The sequence below is a fragment of the Homo sapiens genome, chromosome X (assembly GCF_000001405.40).
Source record: "Homo sapiens chromosome X, GRCh38.p14 Primary Assembly".
NCBI lineage: Eukaryota > Metazoa > Chordata > Mammalia > Primates > Hominidae > Homo > Homo sapiens.
The window spans coordinates 103,741,763-103,763,421 of record NC_000023.11 but is presented as its reverse complement, the minus strand read 5'-3'; the positions used below and the strand labels follow the sequence as shown (position 1 = coordinate 103,763,421).

Genomic DNA, 21,659 nt, shown 5'->3' with positions numbered 1-21,659 from the left:
CTTCTATATTCTGCACCACCATGCTGTTATAAGGGCAGAAAGAGGTTTCCTCACTACGCAAGGGTCCTCCATCATTAATTCCTCTTTAATAAAAACTCTTCTCAAGGCTGCTTTACTTCCAAAGGAAGCTGGAGTCATTCACTGCAAGGGCCGTCAAAAGGCGTCAGATCCCATCGCTCAGGGCAACGCTTATGCTGATAAGGTAGCTAAAAAAGCAGCTAGAGTACAACTTCGTCCCTCAAGGCCAGTTTTTCTCCTTCTCATCGGTCACTCCTACCTACTCCCCTACTGAAACTTCCACCTATCAATCTCTTCCCACACAAGGCAAATGGTTCTTGAACCAAGGAAAATATCTCCTTCCTGGTGGGTGCCTGTAATCCCAGCTACTCAGGAGGCTGAGACAGGAGAATCCCTTGAACTCAGTAGGCTGAGGTTGCAGTGAGCCAAGATCATGCCACTGCACTCCAGCATGGGTTACAGGAGCAAGACTCTGTCTCAAAAAAATAAATAAATAAAATAAAATCTCTCTTATTTAAAAAAAAAAAAACAAAAAGAAAAAAAAAGAAAATATCTCCTTCCAGCCTCACAGGCCGATTCTATTCTGTCGTCATTTCATAGCCTCTTCCATGTAGGTTACAAGCCACTAGCCCGCCTCTTAGAACCTCTCATTTCCTTTCCACCGTGGAAATCTATCCTCAAGGAAATCACTTCTCAGTGTTCCATCTGCTATTCTACTACTCCTCAGGGATTGTTCAGGCCCCCTCCCTTCCCTACACATCAAGCTCGGGGATTTGCCCCTGCCCAGGACTGGCAAATTGACTTTACTCACATGCCTCGAGTCAGGAAACTAAAATACCTCTTGGTCTGGGTGGGTAGAGGCCTTTCCCACAGGGTCTGAAAAGGCTACTGCGGTCATTTCTTCCTTTCTGTAAGACATAATTCCTTGGTTTGGCCTTCCCACCTCTATACAGTCCAATAACGGACCGGCCTTTACTAGTTAAATCACCCAAGCAGTTTCTCAGGCTCTTGGTATTCAGTGAAACCCTCATACCTCTTACCATCCTCAATCTTCAGAAAAGGTAGAATGGACTAATGGTCTTTTAAAAACGCACCTCACCAAGCTCAGCCACCAACTAAAAAATGACTAGACAATACTTTTACCACTTTCCCTTCTCAAAATTCGGGCCTGTCCTCGGAATGCTACAGGTTACAGCCCATTTGAGCTCCTGTATAGACACTCCTTTTTATTAGGCCCCCGTCTCATTCCAGACACCAGCCCAACTTGGGCTGTGCCCCAAAAACTTGTCATCCCTACTATCTTCTGTCTAGTCATAATCCTATTCACCGTTCTCAACTACTCATACATGCCCTGCTCTTGTTTACACTGCCGGTTTACACTGTTTCTCCAAGCCATCACAGCTGATATCTCCTGGTGCTATCCCCAAACCGCCCACCACTCTTAACTCCCTCTTAAAGTAAATAAATAATCTTTACTGGCAGGGCTATGCTGAACCTCCTTGGGCACTCTCTAATTGGATGTCCTGGGTCCTCCCAATTGTTAGTCCTTTAATACCTGTTTTTCTCCTCTTATTCGGACCTTGTGTCTTCCGTTTAGTTTTTCAATTCATACAAAACCGCACCCAGGCCATCACCAATCATTCTATACAACAAGTGTTTCTTCTAACAACCCCACAATATCACCCCTTATCACAAAATCTTCCTTCAGCTTAATCTCTCCCACTCTAGGTTCCCACGCCTCCCCTAATCCCGCTTGAAGCAGCCCTGAGAAACATCGCCCATTATATCTCCATACCACCCCCCAAAAGTTATTGCTGCCCCAACACTTCAACACTATTTTATTTTATTTTTCTTATCAATATAAGAAGACAGGAATGTCAGATCTCTGAGCCCAAGCCTGCATATATACATCCAGATGGCCTGAAGCAAGTAAAGAATCACAAAAGAAGTGAAAATGGCCAGTTCCTGCCTTAACTGGTGACATTACCTTGTGAAATTCCTTCTCCTGGCTCATCCTGACTCAAAAGCTCCCCCACTGAGCACCTTGTGACCCCCACCCCAGCCAGCCAGAGAACAACCCCCTTTGACTGTAATTTTCCACTACCTACCAAAATCCTATAAAACAGCCCCACCCCTATCTCCCTTATCTGACTCTTTTCGGATTCAGCCTGCCTGCACCCAGGTGATTAAAAAGCTTTATTGCTCACACAAAGCCTGTTTGGTGATTTCACATGGACGCGCATGAAACCTAGTATGGTGCCTTGTTTGTGGCTGGCCTTTATTAAATAACCAGAGAACATCCTCCCATCTCTGTTCATATATATAGGAGGACAGTAGGATCATTGGTGTTCTTGAGATTAGGTCCTTCAAGCTTTCATCCAGGAATTACAATAGAGGGCTGACTTGGTCCATCTGGACATCCATCCTGTTGTTCATCCCACAACCACCATAACCACCAGCATAGTTTCTACTCCTCCTCTTAGAAAGCCCAAATTCCAACAAAGATACAATGTCTCTTTCCCTTTCCCCAGCAGCCCTGATGATACAGTCTCTATTTTTAAAGAGAACCTCCCTCAACTTCTTCTCCAAATAGGAGCTAATGAATAGGAAAGAAAGTATTGCCAGGCCCAGTGGTTCATGCCTGTAATCCCAGCACTTTGGGAGGCCAAGGTGGGTGGATTGCTTGAGCTCACAAGTTCAAGACCAGCCTGGGCAACATGGCAAAACCCTGTCTCTACAAAAAATACAAAAATTTGCCAGGTATGATGGTGCGTACCTGTAGTCCCAGCTACTCGGGAGGCTAAGGGGGAGGATGGCTTGCGCCCAGGAGGTGTAGGTTGCAGTGAGCTGAGATCATGCCACTGCACTCCAGCCTGGGCAACAGAGACAGACCTTGTCTCAAAAAAAAAAAAAAAAAAGTATTAATTGACATCAAATTGAAACATTTTTAAGGCAGTGACAAATGTTACTAGAGCCCCTCACTGGAAGGAGAGTGGAGTTTCCCAAAGCATGACCAGAGATTGTCATCTCCACTGGATGGTGAAAGGTCTAATGTTAAAAAAAAAAAAAAAAAAAAAAAAAAAAAAAAAAAAAAAATCTGCAGGCAAATATATTTGGGGAAGCCTGGGTTAACCAAAGTTTTTTGTTTTTGTTTTGTTTTGTTTGTTTGTTTGTTTGTTTGTTTTAGTGTCTCTGTAGCCAGGCATGGTGGTACGCACTTCTAGTCCTAGCTACTTGAAGAGTCTGAAGCAGGACTGCTTGATCCCAGGAGTTTAAAACTGCCATGAGCTAGGAGCATGCCACTGCACTGTCACCTGGGCAATAGAGTGAGACACTGACTCTTAAAAAAAATTTTTTTTCGGCAGGGCGCGGTGGCTCAACGCCTGTAATCCCAGCACTTTGGGAGGCTGAGGGGGGCGGATCACAAGGTCAGGAGATCAAGACCATTCTGGTTAACACGGTGAAACCCCGTCTCTACTAAAAAATACAAAAAAAATTAGCCGGGCATGGTGGCAGGCGCCTGTAGTCCCAGCTACTCTGGAGGCTAAGGCAGGAGAATAGCGTGAACCCAGGAGGCGGAGCTTGCAGTGAGCCGAGATCACACCACTGCACTCCAGCCTTGGTTACAGAGCGAGACTCCGTCTCAAGGAAAAAAAAAAATAATGATTTTTTTTTGGCCGGGCACAGTGGCTCATGCCTGTAATCCCAGTACTTTGGAAGGCCAAAGTGGGCAGATCACCTGAGGTCGGGAGTTCAAGACCAGCCTGACCAACCTGAAGAAACCCCGTCTCTACTAAATATGCAAAAACTAGCCAGGCGTGGTGGCATACGCCTGTAGTCTCAGCTACTTGGGAGACTTTACAAAACCTCCACTATGCTAACATGCATTATGGCCTCTAAAAGACAGAGATGATAGAGTTTGCAGCTTGATGCCATTAGTTAAGTACTTACTGTGTGCTAGGCTCTGTACTAAGTGCTTCACTTGCATTAATCCTTATCAAATCCAATAGATATTGCTGTTATCTTCGTTCTTTAATTCCTTCCCACATTCCAATAGCCCAAGGTCTGGCTTGAGTTGGCAGGCTTCTTGTCTCAGTTACTAGCATCCGGCTCCCTCCTGGCCAGTGTCTTCTTGGCAGCATTTTCCCTAATCTCACCCTCAGGAACTAGTCCATGCTCCATCCTCATCCTATCCCAGACAAATGTCAAAGTCCCAAGTGAAGCTATAACTACCTGATATGGTTTGGCTCTGTGTCCCCATCCAAATCTCACCTTGAATTGTAATCTCCATAATCCCCATGTGTCAAGGGCAGGAACAGGTGGAGGTAATCAGATCATGGGGGCGGTTTGCCTCATTCAATTCTTGTAATAGTGAGTCTCATGAGATCTAATGGTTTTAGAATCATCTGGCATTTCCTCTGTTTGCACTTATTCTCTCTTCTGCATCCCTGTGAAGTGGTGCCTTCCACCATGATTGTATGTTTCCTGAGGCCTCCCTAGCCATGCAGAACTGTGAGTCAATTAAGCTTCTTTTCTTTATAAATTACCCAGTCTCAGGTATTTCCTCACAGCAGTGTGAGAATGGACTAATACACCACCCAAGGCATTCTTCTTGCCTGCTACCTAGATACAGCCAATTTATCAAGACAGGGGAATTGCAATAGAGAAAGTTTAATACATGCAGAGCCAGCTAAACAGGAGACTGGAGTTTTATTATTAGTCTAATCAGCCTCCCTGAAAATTTGAAGGGTAAGGTTTTTCAAGGATGGTTTGGTTCTGTGTGAACTCTGGCAGTTATCAACCTGCTTTTTTGTCCCGCTACTCCCTCCCCTTTGAAAAACTGGTAGCAGTAAACCTTATAGCCAAAAGAGGAAATGGGAATAGGAAGAATACAGATATGGATATTCAAGAGACAATCATAGGGCTGTGGAAAATGGTCCTTATGTGCTGAGTCCACTTCTGCTTGGGACCACAGAGGAGTCGCTGTTCCAGGTGGAGTCATCCAGTCAGTTGTCAGAAATGTAAAAGTCTGAAAAGACATCTTAAAAAGCCAATCTTAAGTTCCACAATAGTGATGTTATTTACAGGAGCAATTGGCAATGTTGCAAATCTTGTGATCTCTGGAACAATGGCTATTAATCATTTCACTACACCTGTATCTTAGCAGAATTCAGGCCCCTTTCATAATCTTAAACTTGTGGCCTTGTATTAGTTTTATAAAGGCAGTTTAGTTTTGGGAAGGGCTATTACCATTCAATCTATAAATTTCTACCAAAGTTAGCTTGGCCCACACCCAGGAATAATCAAGGGCAGTTTGGAGGTTAAAGGCAAGATGGAGTTGGTTAGGTAAGATCTCTTTCACTGTCATAATTTTATCACTGTTAAAATTTTTGCAAAGGCAGTTTCAAAGAGGTCCTCTCTACTGAGGACCTCTTTAGAAGTCTTTGTGGGATGGGTAATGTCCCTCTTCCAGACTCAAGCCCTCAGCTCCAACCTCCTCTGGAGTCCTCTGAGCTGACCGCTGTGGCTGAGCTGGGCCAGGGGTATGCTGCCTCCCTCCACTACCAGTGTCCAGTTGAATGCACAAGGACCAGATGTGTATTCTTCAAGTGTGAGCCAATCTGGTGCCACTGAATCCTGCAAAGAGGCATGCCCAGGCCCTGGAAATGTTATAGTAGGTAGTCAGACATGAGCAGGGCAGGAGAGGGCTCCCCCAAAACTAGGAATGTCAGGTGACCATCAGGTGATGGTCAGGTGATTGTTAAACTGTCTCTCTAAAATAATAATTGGTTGCAGTTGGCACCAGGGAATGTCTCCCAATAGATAGAAAAACCTAAAACTGGTGATCAGCAGCTTCCTGATAAGATCTCAGGAGCTGGGCTAGTGGGTTCAAGCATGTGCACTAAGAGGCAAAATGGCAGAGTTTAACTGGTATATGGCCTTCCTCTAGAACACTCAACTGATAAGGAAAGAACGCCTCATGTGAGCATGCTTACAACTTCAGTAAACGTACTGTGCATACGGCCCCTCCCAAATGCTGGCAGGCCAGTGCACATGTGGACAGCCCACCCCAAGGGAAGAATCAAGAGAGAAGAGATGCAAACCCCCAGAAGCGTGCCAACATATAAAACCCCAAGTCGAAGGTCAAACCATGCATTTGAACCTCTCAAGTCGCCTGCTTGGTCTTCTTACAAGTATACGTTACATCCTTTTGTTCCTACACTAAAACTTCTTCAGAAACTTTCACTCCTCCTCTAAAACTTGCCTCAGTCTTTCCCTTTGCCTTATGACCCTCCATCGAATTCTTTCTTCTGAGGAGTCGAGAATTGAGGTTGCTGCAGACCCGTACAGATTTGCCACTAGCAGGAAGACCAGAAGTTGCAACAGCTGCAGGCAGAGAGTAGGGGTGAGGTGCTCAGTGCAAAGAGAATTCTGGTGGCAAGGGGATCCTTGATCTGTGGTGGTGTGTGACCACTCTGGGCAGTGATCCAAAAAATTGAATTCACACACACTCACTTCTTCCTGGAGCAAGCAGAACAAATGTTTCTTGCATCCTGCTCAGCTCCAGCCCTCCTCAAGCTCCAACCACCCCCCACCACACCAAATAAAAAAAAAAGAGATTTAAAGCTCAGCTATTTTTAATTTTTTGCTTCTCCAAAAGTTGGCCTGGAGCTCACAGCTATTTTTCCTCTTTTCTCTACACTGGAGTTTTCATCGATTTGAAACTCTCTTAATCCTTTAGGCCATGGGCTGATGAACCTTCTGAGGTAACCTCTTTGGCAAACTGCATAGGTGGGTGTCAGTGGGGATCATGCTCTTGTTGAGGGCAAGAAGGGCCTTCCTCAGCCCTTGCAAGACAAGACTCCCTCTCTGACCCTTTTCTGGCATTTCCTGCTGTTCTTGGCTATACTATTCCTAAAATCTTTACAATCTTCAAAGTGATGCTTTTTTGTATGCTAATGAGTTGACTTATGGCTGGCAGCAGGTAGGTAGCCTCAGGATGGGAGTTGATCACCAAAAAGACCAAGGCAGAATTAGAGGATTGTGATGTTCAGCCACACCCCCAGCCTCCTAGGAGGGGAGAAGGGCTGAAAGTTAAGTTAATCACTGATGGCCAATGATTTAATCAATCAAGCCTACATAATAAAGCCTTCATAAAAACCCAGAAAGACAGGGTTTGAAAAGCCTGTGGATAGCCATACATGGAGTTTGAACATCTGCCCACCAGGAGGATGGCATATCCCAACTCCACAGAGACAGAAGCTCCTGTGCTCAGGACTTTAGCTCTCACCCTGTGTATCTCTTCATCTGGCCATTCATTTGTATCCTTTAAAATCTCCTTTCTAACTGGTAAAATTAAGTAAGTGCTTCCCTGAGTTCTGTGAGCTGCTCTAGCAAACTGATCAAACCTGCGGAAGGGTTCATGGGAACCCCGATTTATAGCCAGTCAGTCAGAAGCAGAGGCAAAATAACCTGGGGCTTGTGATTGGCACTGGAAGTGGGAGACAGGCTTGGGGACTGAGCCCTCAACCTGCAGGATCTGACGCTATCTCCAGGTAGGTAGCATCAGAATTGAATCGGAGGACATCCAGCTGGTGTCTCCTGCAGAGTTGCTTGCTTGGTGTGTGAGAAATTGGGAAACACACCACACATTTGGTCACAGAAGTGTTCCATGTTGAATGTTGTTGGGTAAGAGCATAAGAATAACAGCTTATGTTTTTTTTCTACTCAGGCATCTACCTCTTCCCCAAATCTAGTTCCTTCTGCCCTCTGTGTGGAGAAGACTACTGGGCCTTAAGCTCCTGAAGGAATCACAGCATTGGAGCCAGCACAAGCAGCACTTCCTAGAAATCTCCAAGGCTTCAGAGCTGATCACACTTGGCTAGGGCTGAGCCCAAGTTCCATGGAAAGAAACCTTTACAAGGTGCCATGGCACCTGCCTTAAAGAGGGCAGGCACCCTCATCAGGGCAGGCAACTAATAGGAGTCCCTGGCAGCTTGGGAGTTGGAAACAAATCTTAGAAGACAGACTGAAACTAATAGCTAATAGTTTTTGATTACTTGGTATATGTCCAGCCCTGTTCTAACTGCTTTATAGATAATTATGCATTGATTCTGTGAAACACTCTTATAAGGAAGGTACTGTTATCTCCATTTTATAGGCAAGGCAACTGAGGCACAGAGAGGTTACATTGGTGGTAGAATACGGAACAACATTATGAAGCTAGACAATCTGTCATCAGATCCCAGGTTCTTTTTTTTTTTTTTCTTTTTTTGAGACGGAATCTCGCTCTGTCACCCAGGCTGGAGTGCAGTGGCGCGATCTCGGCTCACTGTAACCTCTGCCTCTTGGGTTCAAGCAATTCTCCTGCCTCAGCCTCCCAAGTAGCTGGGATTACAGGCATGTGCTGATCCCAGGCTCCTAACCACTAGGCACACGACATGTACATGAGTCCCCTCTCCTGAATCTCCACTTCCAGATTTAGTCCTTCACTCAGGACCTGGTTCCTGATGCCTGCAGGGTTTTTAGTGTTTTGCTGCAGTCGGGCTCTGGGACAGTGTAGCCTTAGGGCATAGAGCAAGGAGAGAGCCCCTCCAATGAATCTGCAGGAGGGCCAGGATAGGAAAGGAGGGAGGGCAGCAAAAGCAAATACCTGGAAGCAGCTAGTAAGATAACAGAACAGCGAGAATCCTCTCCTCCCCAGGCAATACACCTGCATCCCCCACCTCTCCCAAGTACACAGATATGCATGCACTCGCATGCACATACATCTGTGCTCAATTATTCCAGTGGAAGGGCAGAGCAGGGCTGCCAGAGAAGAGATTGCTTGTCAGTGAAGGAGTTTGGCAGATGTGCCCTCCAGCTCTGTTTTTGAAAGAAGCCAGAGCTTTGGGGGCTGGGTTACCTGCAGAACTCCAGGAGCTTAGAGAGTGCCTCCAGAGAGGGCAGATGCTGAGAGGACCTCGGGCTGCGCTGCAGGATAGGCTCATTCAAAACTCTGTGAGCCAAGCTTTGTGGACAGCCTCCTGGACTCTTCTTGATCAAGTTCTAAGACTCCATTCTGGAACCTTCCTAAGGCAGGCTTAGTGGCAATTTTTCTCTTGGCCCTGATTATTCTGCAGAAACCCCTCCATCTTCTCAATCAGTGGGCTACCTGAAAACAGAACTCAGTCTTCATCAGTTCCTTAGGCTTTGACTCCTCTGCATAAAAATAGTCTTGGTGACCCCTCAGTTTTCCAAGAATAAGCTGGCTAAACATGAAAGCAAGGTCTTCCCATAGTGCTTCTCTCCCAAAAGCTCACTGTACTGTGTGGTTAGAACCTGTCTACCTCACATCATCAGACATCTCTGCAATTGGCACCTACTCTTCTATTTTTATTCTTACTTTTACAGGCTCGCGTGTACTTATGCGACTCAGTTCACTAAAATAAGGATGGTACTGTCCTGTATATCTCCTAGAAGTTTTGAAAATCTGATGAGATAAAGTCCTGTATGCCCTTGTGAAGTACACGAAGTGCTCTATGTGCTAGAAAACACATCCATCTCACCCACCAGCCTGTTAGCTTCTTGTCTGAGTGTTCCCTTCCTAGTGCCCAACAGAGTACTTTGTACATAGTAGACTCCCAATAAAATGGCTCTTCATTAATTCAAGATATGACTGGGAGGAAGTGCAGCATTTTAGGATTGCAAATGACTATCAAGCCTCTGTTACTGTGAGTTGCTTCATGGCCCACGCCTTGGACTAGGCCCTACCCGTAGTCCCCAAGAGCATCATCAGATGACACAAGTGAAGCCAACTTCACAACTTTTTCTTTAGAAGGGTACACTGGGAGTAGGGCTATGCTGGGCTATGAGGAGATTGCGTTAAGGCCCTGTCTCTCCCCTCATTAATAACAAGGAGGTGGGAATGAGAGCAATACCTGGGACCAACACTGTGATGGTAGAAGGTGAGGGAAGACAGAAGAAGGCATGGGGACTTTGGGACTCTAGCTTCTTGTTCATTCCAAACTATTTCAGATCCATTCGATGTAAGCAGAATGAAGGGAGAAGGCTGAGTGGGACCATCTCCCTCTAGCAGCAGGCAGACAGCCTAAGACTCAGAGAGGGGAAATGATCACAGCCCCATAGACCTGCAGGAGCCCTTTGAGGCCACCTCCTTCAGTTTATAGTTGAGGCCCAGAAACCTGAAGTAATTTTATCCAAGGTCAAGAACCAGGGAAGGACACAGCCATGACTGGAACCCAGGCAGCCCAGCTCATAGATCAGGCTTTGATTCCCTACCCTCACACAAAGGGAAATGGTTCTTTATTATTCCATATGCCTTAACCAGTTTGACCTTCACAGCAAGCCCAGTAGTCAGGCAAAGGGCCATCATTCCCATTTTATACCAGAGGAATCTGGGGCCCAAACAGATTTTTTCACTAATAGTACATATTGGGCCAGGTGTGGTGGCTCACGCCTGTAATCCCAGCACTTTGGGAGGCTGAGGCGGGTGGATCACCTGAGGTCAGGAATTTGAGACCAGCCTGACCAACATGGAGAAACCCCATCTCTACTAAAAATACAAAATTACCTGGGCGTGATGGTGCATGCCTGTAATCCCAGCTACTCGGGAGGCTGAGGCAGGAGAATCACTTGAACCCAGGAGATGGAGATTGCAGTGAGCTGAGATTGCACCATTGCACTCCAGCCTGGGCAACAAGAGGGAAACTCCGTCTCAAAAAATAAATAAATAAATAAATAAATAAAATAGCATATATTGGTGACATGGCCAGGAACATTAACTAGTGCTCTTAACAGAGCAGCTGTTAAGGGCATTACAGCTAGTCAGCCAAACCTGGGTTTGAATCTTGGCTCAACATTATTACTGTCTGTGAGACCCTGAGGGAAGTTGCTTATCCTCTTTGGGGCTCAGTATTCTCAACTATAAACTAGGGAACGATAATATTACTAACCTCACAGCCTGTTGTGAGCACGAAGTAAAGCAATATATGTAGAGTTCCTGACATGGTTGGAGGCATGTAGTGAGTTCTCCATAACACAGTAATTCTTCCTTTCTCTCTGCACCCACCCCAACCTCAGTGCCTCTCTCTTCAGGAGTCCAGGAGGATGGGGAGGGGCAGTTGGTAATAGAGTTGAAGAAGTATGCTTTGGGACACATAACCAGCAATATTCCCTTATCACCTGGCCCTAGCTCCTCCTGCCTCCCTCCCTCATCCCACCAAGGACATTGGACGAAAGAGTATCCAGAGCGCACTGGTACTCCATTTGTGTTCCTGAGCTGGCAGCATGCAAAACCTTTAAATACAAATTTTAAATCAGCAAATCCCAATTGCCTGATCTTGGAGGCAAAAAAGACAGATAGACAACAGATGTAGAGAAAGGAGCCAGGAGGACCAAATACCCCACAGCTTGGGGTTGGGGGAGGAGGTAGAGATAAAGACGAAATGAAGGCGAGGAGACAAGTGCACACAAATAGGGATGCTTACCATGTGGCCGAATTCCTTTTCCCCTAGGCAGACAGTCAAGCAGCTTTGTGGCCTGGTAGGACCAGGCCTCCTTGTTTCTCGGTATTGCTAAAACCAAGGTTAATGTCAGGTCCTGACACTGGCCCAATGACAATCCTAGCCAGCAGGAGCTTGGCTCAGAAGAAGTGAAAAAAAAATGATAAGCAAGTGCTCTTTGCAGAAGTCTTTCCCTTTTATGACCCCATATATATTTGTCTGTTCCTTTGTCATCTATACCATTTTCTTAGTTTGTAGAAAACTGGCCTGCTTCTGTCTTGGGACCACTGCAAGGGAATGTTATTCCCCAGCAATAAAGTAGGTCAGAGCCAGACTGGAGACTTGCATTCCTGTGTGGTTGTCTCCATTGTCACCACTCAAGTCTCAGGGATTGCTCTTCCTAAAACCATGTCCTTGGGAGCAAGGCTTTGCCCATTGTTTTCTCTTCTCTTCTCTTCTCTAGCAGAAGGTCTCTAAAGGCTACTATCCCTAGAACTGGCCATCTTCAGGCTGAAGCTAGGTTGGGCTAAAATGATCAGCCTTCAGTAGAAATCAAGGCTGAAACAGGTAAAAAGCAGGCTGTCTGAGCATTTCCCTACCAGAGACCCTTCAGCTAAGTGTCTGGGTATACTCAGTCAAACACCATCCCTGCCTTTGTGTTCATATTCTGTGTCCCTATTCAAGAAAGGTAGTTTTCTTTCTTTCTCTCTTTCTTTCTTTTCTTTCTTTCCTTTTCTTTCTTTCTTTTCTCTCTCTCTCTTTCTTCCCGTCTTTCTTTCTCTCTCTTTCTTTCTTTCCTTTCTTTCTTTTTTTTTTTTTTTGAGACGGAGTTTTGCTCTTGTTGCCCAGGCTGGAGTGCAACTGCGCAATCTCGGCTAACCACAACCTCTGCCTCCCGGGTTCAAGCCATTCTCCCGCCTCAGCCTCCGGGGTAGCTGGGATTACAGGCATGCACCATCATGCCCGGATAATTCTGTATTTTTTAGTAGAGACGGGATTTCTCCATATTGGTCTGGCTGGTCTCGAATTCCAAACCTCAGGTATCCACCCGCCTCAGCCTCCCAAAGTAGTGGGATTACAGGCGTGAGCCACCATGCCCGGCCTGGCAGTTTCCTTAAACCAGCTGTCAGGTGTCTCGGCCCTCAGCTTCCTGAGCTATGCTGCCCATTTCTCAGAGCAGCCAGGGGAATCTCTGGGCAAGTGTAGTGTTGCATCTGTCAGAAGAAGAAATAAAGCTTTTTAATGATCCTTGAGTGAATAGAGAGGTTAGTTTCATTAAATACAGGACTGCCAAGCTGGCAGCCTTACTGATTAGGCTCCTTGGATCAAGTTCTCAGCACAAAGATGGTGGAATTGGGATTAAGAGGAACAAAGGGAGCCCACATCCCAATGAGAAACATTCAGGATGTGGAGGCCCCTTGCTGGTCTCCAATGAGGTGTTTTTGTTTCACTTTTGGTGCCCTTCAGCAGGGGCACCTCCTCCAGGTGGACCAATTGACATCCAAGGACACGTTTAAATGTTCAGGTGCCATGGACTCGATGTGTTCCTTAAAATTCATATGCTGGAAATTAATCTCCAAAGTGACAGTGTTGGAATATGGGCCTTTTGGGAGGCTCCAACCACATGAATGGATTAATGTCAACTATAAAAAGGGCTTGTGGGAGTCGGTTCACTCTCAAGTCCTTCTGCCTTATCCGTTTCAATGCTGGGGACACAGCAAGGCCCCATCTTGGAACCAGAGACCAAATCTATTGGCGCCTTGATCCTGAACTCTCCAGCTTCTAGAACTATGGAAATAAATTTATGTTCTTTATAAATTACCTAGTCTTTGGTTTTCTGTTATAGCAGCACAAAACAGACTAAGACAACAGATGTTTAGTTTCTGGGCTCTTAGTATTCCCTGCTCACTACCACTTCCCTCTCAAGGAAGAAGAAGGGTGAAGCAGGAAAATGGAAACTTGCATTTGCTGAGCAAGTATTGGTTGCCAGACACTGCTTTGGGCACTTTCCTATACCTTATCTCATTTCTTTCTTTTTTTTTTTCTTTCAGGGTAAGGGATGTGCTTCAGGTGCAAAGAATTTCATTGACTGGAATACTGTTAGAGTCATATTATCATCATCAGTTTATGCATGGCCCACTTTGTATCATTTTATTTCTATTTTTATTTATTTTTACTTTATTTATTTCCCTCTTTATCACCCTTCCCAATCCCATCTCCTTTCATGATGGATATGCACTCTTTTTTTTGAGACAGAATTTCACGCTTGTTGCCCAGGCTGCAGTGCAATGATGCAATCTTGGCTCACTGCAACCTCCGCCTCCCAGGTTCAAGCGATTCTCCTGTCTTAGCCTCCAGAGTAGCTGGGATTACAGGCATCCACCACCATGCATGGCTAATTTTTTGTATTTTTAATAGAGACAGGGTTTCACCATGTTGGCCAGGCTGGTCTCAAACTCCTGACCTCAGGTGATCCACCCGCCTTGGCCTCCCAAAGTGCTGGGATTACAGGCGTGAGCCACTGCACCCGGCCAGATATGCACTCTTGTGTGTTTGATTTACATAAATGGTATTGTTCTGTACATCTTCTCTGCTTCTTTGTTTCATGTAATATTATAATTATTGAGAGCTAATTCTGTTGATAACTGTGAAAGTAATATGTTCATTTTAACCACTATATAATATTCCATGATTTGCATATTTTGCATTTTATTTATCCATTCCTCTGTTGATGGACATTTAGGTTGTTTTCAATTTCTCTGTATTACAATATTGCAACAAACATTTCATGCAAGCTACTTTGTGTACCTGTGAGAGTAGTTCTAGGGGGATATAGAAATGTTGGCCAGGCATGGTGGCTCACGCCTGTAATCCCAGCACTTTGGGAGCCGAGCGGCGGATCACGAGGTCAGGAGTTCGAAACCAGCCTGACCAACATGGAGAAACCCTGTCTCTACCAAAAATTTAGTAGAGACGGGGTTTCTCCACGTTGGCCAGGCTCGTGTAGGACTCTTGACGTACTGATCCGCGTGCCTCGGCGTCCCAAAGTGCTGGGATTACAGGCGTGAGCCACCGCGCCCGGCCTCTCCAATATTTCTATAGTTGTATAGTTTTGCCTTTCATGTTTAAGTGTGCAGTACCTCTAATGTTTATTACGTACGTGGCATGACATAAGCATTTAATCTTGTTTTTCTATGTTATAAGCCAATTTCTCCTATTTTATGCCTGTTATTCATAGCATGGACCTTTCCTGTGGCTCTTGCTTCATGAGCAGTAAATCAAGATACATTCACCAAGTTCCCATCGTATTCAGAGCCCTGAAGAAGCGGGATTCTAGTGGAGTTTATGACACAGAACCTGCCTTCAGGAAATATGCCATCTTGCTGGGAAAATAAACCCATGGAGAGAAGAAAAGGTTTTGAGAGTATACATAAAGCAATACCTAAGTGAGGATAAATAGAAACCTTGGAAACTGAGAATACATGTTTGGAGGGTCAAAAAGGGAGCAGGGTACCCATTCCTAGGCTGGGATGGATAAAAGGATTGAACTAGAAGTACAGGGACACCATTGGATATTTTCACTGTGAGATGATCCTCGAATCAAGGTAGCTTTATGCAGTTGCCACAGAATGAAAGAGGAGATAGGAGACACTGAGACTTCACCATTGGCCATTATCTGGCCTTGCTGGTCCGCTCAGAGTTTCCTTCCCATGCCCTTCTCCTTTCTTATTGCTCCTCAGCCCCAGATTACTAATTAATAAGGAAGCAAGGTCATTTTTTAGTGCAGTTCAGGTACCCAGTCCAAAAAATCTCCCTGAATCAGCTGTCTCCATTCTCAGAGCCATGGATTAAATTGAAGGGAACTAATTTAAAATAATAATAATAACACAAAAACACTAATAACAACAGGAATAATTGTAACATAATAACCTCACACCCTTTCAGGAGCTCATATCTTCTCTATGAATATGATCTACCTTGCTCACCAGTGGGAAGAGAGGAAGCTGATTGAAGGAGATTTTGTGGAGCGGGTGCCTGGACTCTGGTAGAAAGGGATCTTGGGGTGTGGCAGACACAAGACAGAAGGTCAGGACTTAGCTGCCTTTCTCAGCCTAAACTGGCTTTTAGTTTGCCTGTGACTTTCCTATTTGGCCAGAAAGGAAAAAGTGTGGAGGCTTCAGAGAGCTTCAACGCCCCCTCCTCCCCTAGCAGGCCCCCTCTGCCTCAGGATGCTGTGCCATGCCACAAAGGTGGTACATCTTGCCTTCCAAACTTGGCTCTCCCAGAGTCTACATTACAAAGTGTACACCAATTACCCTCAGCAGGGCAGCCTGGATTTAGTGTAGCCCACGTCAGGAGCTGATTTTGCTCCTAGTAATCTCCTTCTGCTTTAGTGGTTTGAGACTCTGGAGGGGTAGGTGGGAGGGGAACAGGGGGGCAGGTGGGTGGAGGAAGAAAAGCAAACAAAACTCATCAAAACTAACAAACAAAAAAACTCCAGCTCTCTGCTCATTAATCCTCTCAGGGCCTACTTCTTACCATGGCAACCAGTAAGCCTCCAGGCCTCCTCAGTCCTCACTCCAGTTGTTAGTAAAGAGAGGAGGCTGGCTGCTTTGCCTGGGATGATTTCAATACTGGACAAATTAAACTGGTCCTGGGGAGCTGTGGAAGTTGAAGGAGGAAAGCGGTAGAGAGAGGAAAGGGAATGCTGAAGTGAGGAATGGCAAGTTTCCATTAGGCAGCATGTCTCAGGATCTCTCTTGGGAAGGTGGTAAGGGCCTCCAATGCCAACTTGTGTTAACCCTCAACGGTCTTGATGAAGGCCAACCCTGCCCACTCTCTTCCCCATTCCCCAAAGGCAAGATGATGCAGTGTGTGGGGGTGTCAGTCAGCTCTTTGCAGCACAAAGTGATTTGCTCCGTCTTGAACCAAAGGCAAGAAGAGGAGACAGAAAGTCAAAGTCAGCAGGGTACTTACTTTCACTTCACCCAGAAGGCAGCTGGTCATTGGTGAGAGTGCAACTCTCTAAAGAAACAGAAGACACATTCCTCAGGAAAGGTTCAGGGCAACTTAGCTTCTCTGACCTCCAACTCTGCCTCACCAAGCCTCCCAAAGGCACCATTGCCACAGCCCTCATTTGGTTCAATCTGATCACAGGTCACTGAGCCCCATGGATGGATAACCATCTGCCAAGGTGGGCAGTTTTTCAAGTTATATCAGAGGCTGTGTAACTCCCACTGGCTTCTTTCCTAAGAAACTGAGGCTGGAGCCAGATTCCTTGACCCACAATGAACTGGGACTTGACTATGATATCACTCCTGAGGCTAGTTTCCAGGCAATTCACATTGGTCCTACAACACGGAGGTATGAATGAATTCTTAGGTCCTTTCTTAAATTCCTGCTTTGACAAGGAAAAGGCAGAATGTTGGAAAGGAAGGACTCAGGTGAGGCCCCTTGGTGTTTTTGTCCTGTCCACAGCTAGTGAATGGTTATTTGTTCATTTTGTTTCCTTATTTGGTTTGGTTTTTCCTATTACAAAGGGAAGTAGTACTACTTTCTCCCTAAAAACACTATCTTTCTTCCTCTGTATGTCCTCCTGTGCCTGATACTATCTGCACACTTTCCCATTCCTTTAGTGAGTACCTGAGTCCCAGAGTCTAAAAAAAAATCATCTCCGCTTCAGCCTCAGCCTCCAAGACCTTAATAGCTTAGGCATATTAATTTCTGAGCCAGAATAGAGTCTTGCTTTCACTTACTCCCAAATGCTTGTTGAAAGTCAGGTAATTTGGCTACCACTGTATCTCTAGTATTCCTTGGCACATGGTTGGCATTCAGTAAAGATCCTTTTTTTTTTTTTTTTTTTTGAGACAGGGTCTGACTGTGTCGCTCAGGCTGGGGAGTGCAGTGGTGCAATCATGGCTTACTGCAGCCTTGACCTTCTCTGCTCAAGTGATCCTCCCACCTCAGCCTCCGAAGTAGTTAGGTGGGACTGCAGATGCTCACCCCCACACCTGGCTAATTTTTTTAATTTTTTTGTACAGATGGGGTCTCATTATATTGCCCAGACTATAGTGAAGAAATTTTAAACGAATCTTAGTATATGTATAATCTCAGAGTTTTTCGCTCACTTAAAATAACAGCAGCATCTAAAGCTTCCATTTATTGAAAAGCTACTGTGTCAGACAGAGCCTGTGCTATGGACTACATATGGACATTCTAATTTAAAACTTAGGACATTTTTGAGGGACAGAAACTGTTATTAATTCTGTTCCACAGATGACAATCATGAGGCTCAAGAATGTTGATTAATTTTCCCACATAGTTAATAAATGGCAGAACCTAGTACCAAACTCAGATACCTTGGACTCCAAAGATTGCCTCTCTATGCCTCTGGTGATAGGAAAGTGCCATTGAGACTAAGATCACTATTTGGCTTTCTGACATGCCAGTTAGGTTTGCACAGAAACAGTTCCATGGCTACATACTTTGTTCTCAACCCTAGCAAATCAGTTTATCCAAAGGGGCTCAGGTGAGAGTGTGCTAAGTAGAGAGAAGTTGCCAAGTACCCTTTTCTACTTGTAAATATCCCTTACATATGTACAAAGTTTCCGTTTAAAAAAATACTTTTTTATTTCCTACAGTCTTCACAGCAAGCATGAGAGAGTTTTGTTACAGCTACTCAGTTTTTAAATAAGGACACTGAAGATCAGGGAAGTGTTATAAATTGTCTAAGGTCACACAGCCAAGAAGTAGTAGAACAGGGGCTAAAATCCACTCTTCTTATTCTAGAGCACCAGAGTATAAGCCACTGGATCCTTTTGGCACATAAAGCATTAGAAACCTTGCTTTGTGTCAGATGCCAACTCCCACAAAAAGATTACTGCTTGCTGGTGGCCTATGCCTGTATTCCTGGCTACCTAGGAGGCTGAGGGGAGGATATCTTGAGCCCAGGAATTTGAGATCAGCCAGAGCAACACAGAAAGATTCCATCTAAAAAGACTGCTGCATTTTATTCAGACAAGGGGGAACTAGAGCCCCAGTTCTATGTCCCAAATGGCTAACTGACAATTGAGAAGAAGGCTTGCATCTCATATGTTCTGTCAGAATTCGAAAGACATCATCAGGAAAACCTTTTTATATCTTCTGAAAGTTGCTGTCTAAGTATTAGCAACCCCCCTGCCACCCCACAACAGGCATTGAATGAGGACTGGGAATGCACATCACTCCCCTCCATCTGTCCTCTTTCCCCTTTGAGCAGTCTTAATCATTTTGAAATTTCAATGAATTAAGAAAACAGGCCATCACCCCTAGATATAACAACACCTCTCTTTGGAAGGAGGCATTGGTCATAAAGAGATCACTGCTTTATGGGGCAAAAGCCATCAGATTACTGGGGATTTTGCACCAGCCTAAGTAGGCTTAACTCCTAAATGGCAAAGAGGCTTTGACAAGGATCCCTCAGAATTCTGCTAGTGATTCATGTGGGGCTTTCCTCCTCCTCACCTCTCTCTACTTCTGTCACCCCAGCCCCCACTCCTCCCATAATAAGCAGTCCTTCCCTGCCTCTCCCACTGTCAAGGGACTCTTCTGTGAAAGAATAACATTCCCAGCCGGGCAAGATGGCTCAAGCCTATAATCCCAGCACTTTCGGAGGCCGAGACGAGTGGATCACCTGAGGTCAGGAGTTCGAGACCAGCCTGGCCCACATGGTGAAACCCCGTCTCTACTAAAAATACAAAAATTAGCAGGGCGTGGTGGTGGGTGCCTGTAGTCCCAGCTACTCGGGAGGCTGAGGCAGGAGAATCACTTGAATCCGTGAGGTGGAGGTTGCAGTGAGCTGAGATCGTGCCACTGCACTCCAGCCTGGGTGACAGAGCGAGACTCCATCTCAAAAAAAAAAAAAAAAAAAAAAGGCAGGGCGTGGTGGCTCATGCCTGTAATCCCACCAGTTTGGGAGGCCGAGGCAGGCGGACCACCTGAGGTCAGGAGTTCGAGAACAGCCTGACCAACTTGGAGAAACCCAGCCTCTACTAAAGATACAAAATTAGCCGGGCATGGAGGCTCATGCCTGTAATCCCAGCTACTCGGGAGGCTGAGGCAAGAGAATCACTTGAACCTGGGAGCAGAGACTGCGGCGAGCCAAGATTGCGCCATTACACTCCAGCCTGGGCAGCAAGAGTAAAACTCTGTCTCAAAAAAAAAAAAAAAAAAAAAAGAATAACATTCCTTCTTCACTGAATTATTCATCTTTGCTGCCTTGGTATGGCAAAACTTCTCATTAAAAGCCCTGGGTGAGGCCGGGCGCGGTGGCTCATGCCTGTAATCCCAGCACTTTGGGAGCCCAAGGCAGGCGGATCACAAGGTCAGGAGTTTGAGACCAGCCTGGCCAATATGGTGAAACCCCGTCTCTACTAAAAATACAAAAATTAGCAGGAGGTGATGGCAGGCGCCTGTAGTCCCAGCTACTCGAAAGGCTGAGGCAGGATAATCACTTGACTCCGGGAGGCGGAGGTTGCAGTGAGTTCAGGCCACTGCACTCCAGCCTGAGCAACAGAGCAAGACTCTGTCTCAAAAAAAAAAAAAAAAAAAGCCCTCAGTGGGAGTGACCTACTTAGCGCAGCACTCACAATTAGACAGAGAGAAGACAAGGGGAGGAAGAGATGCAGTGGCAGGGGTGGGAGGCTACCCCAAAGGGGTTGTGACAGGGAGTCCCCAAAACCCAGGGACTTGAGAGACTGAATGGCACCTCTGGAGGCTCCTGGCTGCGGGGATGACCACGGTGCGCTGCTTACCTTTCATTCTTCATTCACTTGTACACATGAGAGGCGGCACACATGCTGCTGCCATGAAGACCATGGGCTCTGGGGCCAGGCTGCTGGGTTTACATCCCACATATCTTCCGAGATATGTGACCCTGAAAAACCATTTAAACTAGCCATGGTGGTTCATGCCTGTAATCCCAACACTTTGGAAGGCAGAGGCAGGAGGATCACTTGAGCCCAGGAGTTCTAGAGCAGCCTGGGCAACATAGTGACACCCCAGCCCTAAAAGAAAACAAAACAAAAAATTTAATTAGCCGGGTGTGGTGGCAAGTGCCTGTAGTCTCAGCTACTCGGGAGGCTGAGGTGGGAGGATCGCTTGAGCCAGGAAGGTTGAGACTGCAGTGAGCTGTGATCACACCACGGCACTCCAGCCTGGGCGACAGAATGAGACACTATCTCAAAAAAATAATAAAATAAAAGTAAGAGGAAGAGACTAGGGTGCACGCGCTCTCTCTCTCTTACAGAAAGAATGGGGGCCTGGAGTGGCAAAACAGGTTAATGAGAGAAAGAAGAGGAGGCCTGGCCAGCAAATGCAGTCTTGTTATGTAAATGAAACCTCACAAGTAGCAGCTCTCACAGAGAATAGGTGGTAAATGTTCCTTTCAGACCTTTAAAGTTGTCAGAATCTCAGTTAATCGTTCCTAGATCCCAAAAAGGAAAGGCCTTTGGAAAGTCTGGCTGCAGCGATGCAGGTTTTCTCTACAAATGCAAATCTCCCCTACAGAAGACAGCTTTGCAAGGCTACTTGAGTTTGCAGGCCCTCTGAGCAGTCATTTCAAAATATGTCAAAAAATTATATTTTGGGGTAAAATATTTTGATTTCCTTCACTAGAAAGAGGGCCCTCAGCAGATCCTGACCATCTTGGCACCCTGGTCTTGGATTTCCAACCTCCAGAACTGTGAGAACTAAATTTCGCTTATTTTTTAGTCACCCAGTCAGTGGTATTTTTTTATGGCCTCCCTAGCTGACTAAGACAATGATGCTGCAAGAAACCTTGCCACCAGAGCAGCTAAGATGAGCCCCCATGGAGCAACTGACACTCAGCACTGTTGTCCAAGCTAGGGCAGGCACCAGTGCCTCCTCATCCATTCTTGTATTTATTCATTCATGTATTCATTTACAAATGTTTAGCTGGCACCTACCCTGTGCCTGGCCCTAAGCTAGGTGCTGTAGGGTGCACAGCAATGAGAAAATCAGGCCCAGGCCTCACCCTCGTGGAGCTTAGAAGCTACTAAGGAGGAGCATCTCTGAAGAATCACACACATGAATGTGAGACACAATAGAGTTTTTTAAAAACCCAAGATGTTGTGAGCA

At 45.7% G+C, this 21,659-nt stretch overlaps 3 annotated features.

Moving 5' to 3' along the window:
• Positions 8,430-8,930: an enhancer, noted in NCBI's record as "H3K4me1 hESC enhancer chrX:103009420-103009920 (GRCh37/hg19 assembly coordinates)". NCBI's record gives its function as "activates a minimal SCP1, AML or CMV promoter by ChIP-STARR-seq in naive H9 embryonic stem cells {active_cell/tissue: H9 hESC(naive)}" and the evidence as "EXISTENCE:reporter gene assay evidence [ECO:0000049][PMID:30033119]".
• Positions 20,586-21,123: an enhancer, noted in NCBI's record as "OCT4-NANOG-H3K27ac-H3K4me1 hESC enhancer chrX:102997227-102997764 (GRCh37/hg19 assembly coordinates)". NCBI's record gives its function as "activates a minimal SCP1, AML or CMV promoter by ChIP-STARR-seq in naive and primed H9 embryonic stem cells {active_cell/tissue: H9 hESC(naive and primed)}" and the evidence as "EXISTENCE:reporter gene assay evidence [ECO:0000049][PMID:30033119]".
• Positions 21,124-21,659: an enhancer, noted in NCBI's record as "OCT4-NANOG-H3K27ac-H3K4me1 hESC enhancer chrX:102996691-102997226 (GRCh37/hg19 assembly coordinates)". NCBI's record gives its function as "activates a minimal SCP1, AML or CMV promoter by ChIP-STARR-seq in naive and primed H9 embryonic stem cells {active_cell/tissue: H9 hESC(naive and primed)}" and the evidence as "EXISTENCE:reporter gene assay evidence [ECO:0000049][PMID:30033119]".